Source organism: Homo sapiens, chromosome 6 (genome assembly GCF_000001405.40).
Source record: "Homo sapiens chromosome 6, GRCh38.p14 Primary Assembly".
NCBI classification, from domain to species: domain Eukaryota; kingdom Metazoa; phylum Chordata; class Mammalia; order Primates; family Hominidae; genus Homo; species Homo sapiens.
The window spans coordinates 139,655,760-139,663,959 of NC_000006.12; the positions used below are offsets into that span (position 1 = coordinate 139,655,760).

At 39.9% G+C, this 8,200-nt stretch overlaps 1 pseudogene; it reads left to right on the forward strand.

Annotated features, from left to right (window-relative positions):
• Positions 4,143-5,941, forward strand: LOC100129554 (thyroid hormone receptor interactor 4 pseudogene; annotated as a pseudogene).

The window sequence follows — 8,200 nt, forward strand, 5'->3', positions numbered from 1 at the left end:
AAAGGAGAAGGGAAATATGGACAGGGAAATAGTTGAGTCCAGTTATGGTGGCAAGGGTGGGTGTGCTGCTTATATGGGATAGTAAGGAGACATTTGATGGATAGGTGACACAAAAACAAAATATGTGCGAAGTTCAACCATTACCAAGTCAGTTTTATCCATGGAGTTAATCAGTCTGGACATTTCAGGTCAAAATTTACTCCTTTATCCTTTAACCAATTATCAAGATAGTTATCCTAAGTCTTCCTTCTTTCCCTCTCCCCTTCCTCCCTCCCTCCTTCCTTCCTTCTACCTACCTTCTTTCATCCTTTCTTCCTTTCTGCCTCTCTCCCTTCCTTCCTTTCTCCCTCCCTTCCCTCCTGCCTTTCCCTTCCTCTCTCCTTTTCTTCCCTCTTTCCTCCCTCTGTCCCTCCCTTCTACTTTGCCTGCTTGTAGACACAGACTTCTCTGGAGTATGTTTCAGGAGGGGTGGATTTGTTTGTCTAGGGCAGGGCTGTCAAATACAGGTCATGCATGCTGCCACGCCCCTGCCATGACAGACAATGCTAATCAATCACTGCTCTCTGGGCACGATCTCAGGATTCATTTCAAGGTGCATGGGTTGCTTAGAGTTGGCTCAAGTGACGAGAGCTGTTTGCCAACATAAATCTAGGACACAAATGGATCAAATATGGCTTTCCATTTTAAAAAAGGTTAAAGTATACTAGAAAATATACTTCCTTTAACCTTTTAAAACATTCCACCCCCACCCCCCACTGTTTTAGTCTCAGCAAGAGCCTCAAGCAAAAATAGACAAATGTTATTTGAAGTCATCATCTAGTGAAGCGAGAGTCTAGCAAAGATTTTTTAGAAGCCTGAATATGTTTCATGAATGAATATCACCTTTTGAATATTTTGTCATACAAATTGACTTCTGGACATTTTGATGTTTGCCTCATGCAAATTTGAATTTTCCTAGTGCTAAAATTTGGTTTCTCTGCTTTAATGCAAATACATTATATGTGTACATAGACGTGGAAATTATGAGCTTAGTTTCTGAAGCCTATGTTGGAACCCCAGCTCTGTCTGTTTCTAGCTGAGTGCCCTTGAACAAGTTAATGTTACCTTTCTGAGCTTCAATTTTCTCATACTGAAAAAAGTAGTAATCATCATTTTTATCTCACAAGCTTATGGTGAAGAGTAAATGAGATAATTCATGTATAACATTCAGCATGGTATCCTGCACATAGTAATACTCCACAAATGTAAGTTTGTGTGTGTTACATGTAACTACTACTGTCTATCCAGGGTGAATTAAGGACTTTGATGCTTATTGAATTGTTTGTCTAAATGTTGCATTTCTTTGCTTTTGTGGGTTTAAGTCAGAGTTTTAATGCTACTTGAATTCTGTTGTGTGGTTCTATCATGATTTTTTTGTGTGTTTAAACTCCAAGAAAAATGTCCTCTTTTTTGGTAGCTGATATATTTAAACCACTAGTGCTGGAAGAAAAATAATCTGTCATTGAAGTAGATCAGAGTTGACATGACAGACTGTGCACTCTATCTTAAACATTCATAACATGCATAATATGGTCCCTATGGAATGAAATAACTCCTTTAGAGTCTTCGCAGTCCCTTGTATCATGGGTCTCCTAGAGTGAAGCCATTATAATTCTAAAGCAGCTATGCCTGTTTGGGGAATAAAACATCAAGGAAAAAAAGGCATTTCACATACCAAACAACTGACATTTATATATTGTTTAGATGTGTGTACATACATGTGCACAAAAGTATGTGGATGGTGCACATAGGTGTGTGGTATTTTGAACTCTGGTGTTTGATATATTATTGCTTACTGGCTAGAAGTAATTTCTTCAGAATCCGCAACACTTGAAATCCTGATTTTATTATCTTATTGGTCATGTGATTTTGAACAAGCTCCCTGCTAAATCTTAGGTAACTCATATTTAAAATGTGGATAACCATGTCTTCATACTCCTTTTTTTTTTTTTTTTTTTTTTTTTTTTTTTTTTTTTTTTTTGAGACGGAGTCTCACTCTTTCGCCCAAGCTGGACTGCAGTGGCGCTATCCCGGCTCACTGCAAGCTCCGCCTCTTGGGTTCATGCCATTCTCCTGCCTCAGCCTCCCGAGTAGCTGGGATTACAGGCGCCCACCACCACGCCCGGCTAATTTTTTGTATTTTTAGTAGAGACGGGGTTTCACCGTGTTAGCCAGGATGGTCTCGATCTCCTGACCTCGTGATCCGCCCGCCTCGGCCTCCCAAAGTGCTGGGATTACAGGCGTGAGCCACCGCGCCCGGCCATACTCTTTCATAGGAAGGATAAACTCATGTGAGATAATACTTATAAAATGTATAGCAAAATATTTGGCACATTTCAATCTCTCCAATAATAGAGCTATTAATAATAATAAATAAGTAAAACAAGTAATTAAAATAATGTCTATGGCAAGGCAAACTGGTTTTCAGCTTCATTATTCAATGTCCTGCTTTGATTTTTATTTTATAGAATAATCATTTGCTAGCTTAAGTAATACATCATTCCTTAATTATAACTGTCAAGTGAAGACTTCACTAATCTATGCCTCTTCTGAGAAATATAAGCACTTGAGCAAATAACTAATATCCTGACCCTGAGTTTCCTAATCTAAGAGGAAAGTCTATCTCAGTGACTGCATTCTGTCATAGCCATTCCTATTGAAAGGATGAAGTGAAATAATGGATTTTACAGGTCTGTATAAGGCACCACCAACTGGCCATACAATTGGAGAAAGGATATAAAATTGTACATACTTATGAAATACTCAAATATTATTAGGCAGTGTCTAAAGAAGACCAGAGCATTAGAATAAACAAATAATCAGTCCAAGAGCAAGTGGAGATTACTACATTTTCAAAGTATTCTTTTCAATGGAAAGAGTTGACTTGTGCAGTGCATGCACTGCATAATGACATTTTGGTCACTAAGTCTGAATATATGACAGTGGTCTCATAAGATTATAATACTGTATTTTTACTGTACCATTTTATGTTTATATATGTTTAGATACACAAGTATTTCCATTATGTTACAGTTGCCTACAGGATTCAGTATTCAGTACCGTGACATGCCTTATAGGTTTGCAGCCTTGGAGCAATAGGCTATACCATATACTTACTTGTGTAGTAGGCAATAGGCTATACCATATACTTACCTGTGTAGTAGGCAATAGGCTATACCATATACTTACTTGTGTAGTAGGCAATAGGCTATACCATGTACTTACTTGTGTAGTAGGCAATAGGCTATACCATATACTTACTTGTGTAGTAGGCTATACCATCTAGGTTTGTGTAAGTACACTCTGATGTTTGCACAATGATGAAATTGCCTAATGATGCATTTTTTAGAATGCATCCCTGTCATTAACTGGCACATGTCTGTATTTGTTTTTAATAAGAAATTACAGCACATGGTAAATTTTGCCTTTAACATTTTTGTGGAAATAAATGGCATTCCCAAAAAGCCTCTTGGGCTTGTAACTGTGCTGTATTTCCATGTTAGCTACATCAAGATAATAGCATTTGATCAACACAGTCTACTTGGACTGACCAGATACTACTGGGTCTCTGTTGGTCACACTACTGTGGATATGAGACAACAAACAGGTTTTGCCAGATGTTCCAGCTTCTCTGCTGTCAAAACCTAGAGTTGAAGTGCAGACGAGGTATATTTCAACCTTCTTCATACTCCAGTAGAGAAGGAGCCACTATTATTTACCCAATTTTTCGAAGGTAAACATTAAATGAATTTAACAATTTAACTTTAAGAAAAGTGAATTTGAAATCGGGAGACAAATCTACCATTTACTTCCATGTATTTTTTTCTGACATCTGTAAAACAAGTCTAATGATATCCACTTCACAAGACTCTTATAAAACATCAAAAAATTTTCCTGAGAAATTCCTTTGTACATAACAAAATACTATAACTATGTAAATTAGTAAGATATTATCCTAGTCTTTTTAAATTCTCACTGAGGTTGTATTTAGTTTGTGGTGTTTGGAAATTAACTTGAATCATTAACTCACCCAGGTTAAAATTTGGCCTCTGGAGCAAAACAACTCTATATTTGCACTCAATTATATCAAAAAACAAACGTTAAGCCCAGCTGGTTCTGTCCGGGAAAGATGGCAGTGGCTGGGGCAGTGTCCAAGGAGCCACTGGTGTAATGGTGCACCCAGCAGGTAGGGAAAAGTGTTGGCCTGGATGTCAGCAAGGAGATCATGCACAGTGCTTCCAAAAAGATGAAACTTTACATGGGCAGAAATCAAGGGACCAGCTAAAGCTGGGTAGGAGGAAAGGGAGAGATAGAGAGGAAGTTCCCGTATTTGCTGAACCTGACACAGCTGCAGAGGTAAAACATCTTTTGATTTGCCCAAGGCACGAGAGAACAGCAACTCCTTTAAGAAGAAGACAAAGTTTGTCAATTTACACACAAGAGAGGGACCCACAGGCCTGCAGTCTGCTCCCCAGTTGCCACCCTTGTGTTTGCCTGGGCCAGAAGCACAAGCTCATCAATAGCTGTCTGATCTGTGGGCCTGTTGTTTGTGAACAAGAGGGCTCCAATCCTTGCTTATTCTGTGTGACAACCATATGTACTATGAAGAACAGGATATTTTACAGCATAACTCAAATGAGAGCCAGAAACTGCTAAAGAAGCTCATGCCATTGATGGAGAATTCTGGAAAGGTGGACAACTCTGCCAAGGACTTTCTATGTCATCGAGAATTTCAAATTATGTCTGGTCTGGAGAAGGATATCAAGCACAAAGACAGGCTGTTAGAGTTGGATAGAGCTAGTTTTCAAAGGACCCAAGTTATTGATGATCAGATTTTTTGCCAGTGATTCTAACCAGTGGTTGTCCAAACTTGAGTGGGAAACGAAATGAGAAGTGAGAAGAAGAGCTGAGAGAACTTCGACATGCCTCTGTACTCTCTAAGAAGGTCACCATTGACTTTACAGCAGGAAGATCCTGGAAGAAGAAAATCCATTAGCAGAATATCACAGCAGACTAGATGAGACAATACAGGCCATTGCTAAGGAAACCTTGAACTAGACACTGATCACATTTGATATATCTCCTGAAGAACCTTTGGAAGTTCTGGTAAATCTCAGCACATACGAGTCCCCTCCCCAGTGGGTTGACCACACAGGTGCAGCCTCACAGAAGAAGGCTTTCCATTCAGCAGGATTGGGACTAGAATTCAACTCATTTCGGTACCTCTTGTGAATCCAGGATCAAGACTTTCAGGGAGGTTGGACAGTGGCTCATGTCTCTCTATACATCAGCCCTGGGTTTCTCAGCTTGTTAGAGGGATTAGAAAATGATGGAGTACAGATCCTGGTACATCTGCCACAGAGGACAACTTTGGATAGTAGTCATAGCCAAAACCTCCCTCTGCCTTCAAAAAGTCTCAGAACTCCGGGCTACATATCATCTTCTTCATAGAAAAGATGTGGAATTCCCCAGTGACTATCCATCAGGTTGTTTTTTGGGCTGTCTGGACCTAATTGCTTGTTTCAGAGGCAATTTAAGGAGCAGTTTCCAGACATCAGCTAAGAATCACGTTCTCCACTTGTTTTCATCTGCAAAAGTCCTGAGGAAATGGTTGTGAAGTTTCCTATTAAAGGAAATAAAAAAATCTGGAAACTGGATTCCAAGATCCATTAAGGAGCAAAGAAGAGGTAAATGAAGCAGAATAAAGCTTTCTGACTCAGGAGAAAATAAACCATACAGCACAGTGGAGTTTGGTACACTAAAATTGCCATCCACTAGGTTTTTGGAATTGAAGCAGTAGAAATCTAAAGGCTTGGCATCGGGCTTGAATCTCTCAGAATTTAAACTCTTACCAAAATCTGTATATTTTTCTTAAGGAGTAGGATTCTTACTTATGTAGTGGCTCAAAATCTTTGAATACATTATTTATTTATTTATTTATTTTTATTTTATTTTTTGAGATGGAGTCTCGTGCTGTCACCTAGGCTGGATTACAGTGGCGCGATCTCGGCTTACTGCAACCTCCACCTCCCGGGTTCACGCCATTCTCCTGCCTCAGCCTCCCGAGTACCTGGGACTACTGGCGCCCGCCACCACGCCCGGCTAATCTTTTGTATTTTTAGTAGAGATGGAGTTTCACCGTGTTAGCCAGGACGGTCTCTATCTCCTGACCTCGTGATCCGCCTGCCTTGGCCTCCCAAAGTTCTGGGATTACAGGCATGAGCCACCGTGCCCAGCCTGAATACATTGTTTATAAAAAACTATTTGAAAAAAAAGTTCAGGGTATTTCCTATTATTTGAAGGTTACTGAGGCTACAACCTTGTGGGTTTCTAGATAAAAAATTTTCTCATCTTTTTTTTGACATGGGAAAATACAAGTGGGATCATGGCAAAACATGAAAATAGGAAGAGGAGCGTGGTGTATAAGACACTGGTTGAGAGCAAGAGGTATATAGTCAGATAGACCCAAATTTTAATATAACCTCTGTTACTCACTAAACTCATTATTGTTTATAGATTAAATTAGGTAATACTTCTTAAAGACCTTATCAAATCTGTGCTAAGATGATACCATCCTACACATATTGGAAATACATGAAAAAATATTGTGGCTCACGCCTGTAATCCCAGCACTTTGGGAGGCTGAGGCGGGCGGATCACGAGGTCAGGAGATCGAGACCATCCCGGCTAAAAAACGGTGAAATCCCGTCTCTACTAAAAATACAAAAAATTAGCCGGGCGTAGTGGCGGGCGCCTGTAGTCCCAGCTACTTGGGAGGCTGAGGCAGGAGAATGGCGTGAACCCGGGAGGCGGAGCTTGCAGTGAGCCGAGATCCCGCCACTGCACTCCAGCCTGGGCGACAGAGCGAGACTCCGTCTCAAAAAAAAAAAAAGAAAAAGAAAAAATATTAATACTCAAATTGGGGTCAGGTAGTAGGGGAATCCCCTTTTTCTTATGCAAAGGAGATGCCTCAACTTTAAAGTGGATGAAGTGGATCAGGCAGTAGAGAAATGAAAGACTATAGTGATAACTATTGTCATGCGTCTTTGAAGGGGCTTGAGACACAGAATTAGAAGGGCAGGGTGTAGAATTTCTAAAATTTACCTTGAGATAATGTAAGAACAAAAAGATCATTAACAAACGATGAACACACACACACACTTGACCCTTGAACAATGTAGGGGTTAGGGACACCAAGTTCCTGTGCAGTCAAAAATATGGGTATAACTTTTGATTTCCCCAGAACTTAGCTACTAATAGCTTACTATTGATTGGAAGCCTTACTCATAACATAAACAGTCCATTAACAAATATTTGTATGTTATATGTATTCTATACTGTATTCTTACAATCAAGTAAGCTAGAGAAAAGAAAATTTTATTAAGAAAATCATGAGGAAGAGAAAATGTATTTGCTCTTCATTAAGTAGAACTGGATTATCATAAAGGTCTTTATTCTCATTGTGCTCATGTTGAATGGGCTGAGGAAGAGGAGGAAGAGGAGGGGTTGGTCTTGCTGTCTCAGGGATGGCAGAGGCAGAGGAGGTGGAGGAGGTGGGAAGGGAGGCAGGAGGAGCAGTCACACTCAGTGTAACTTTTATAGGAAACTTTTGTATAAGAGCATCAGTGCAGTTCAACTCCATGTTACTCAAAAGCCAACTGTATATACATAGTTTCATAGAAGTACACAATTTAATACTAATCATTTACTCACTGTACAGGTTTACTCACTGTAAGTATGGCTTAGTGATTTCTAGGAATTTTATAAACTGTACAACCATAACAAAAATTCAGTTTCTTTCTTTTTTTTTTTTTGGAGTCAGAGTCTCACTCTGTTGCCCAGGCTGGAGTGCAGTGGCATGATCTCAGTTCACTGTAACCTCTGCCTCCCAGGCAGGTTCAAGTGATTCTCCTGCCTCAGCTTCTCAAGCAGCTGGGATTACAAGTGTGTGTCACCACGCCTGGCTAATTTTTGTATTTTTAGTTGAGGCAGAGTTTCACCATGTTGGCCAGGCTGGTCTTGAACTCCTGACCTCAGGTGATCCACCGGCCTCAGCCTCCCAAAGTAGTGGGATTATAGGTGTGAGCTACCGCACCCGACCAACAATTCAGTTTTAAAGTACTTCTATCATCAAAAAATTATTAATATCTTGGTCCCTTTT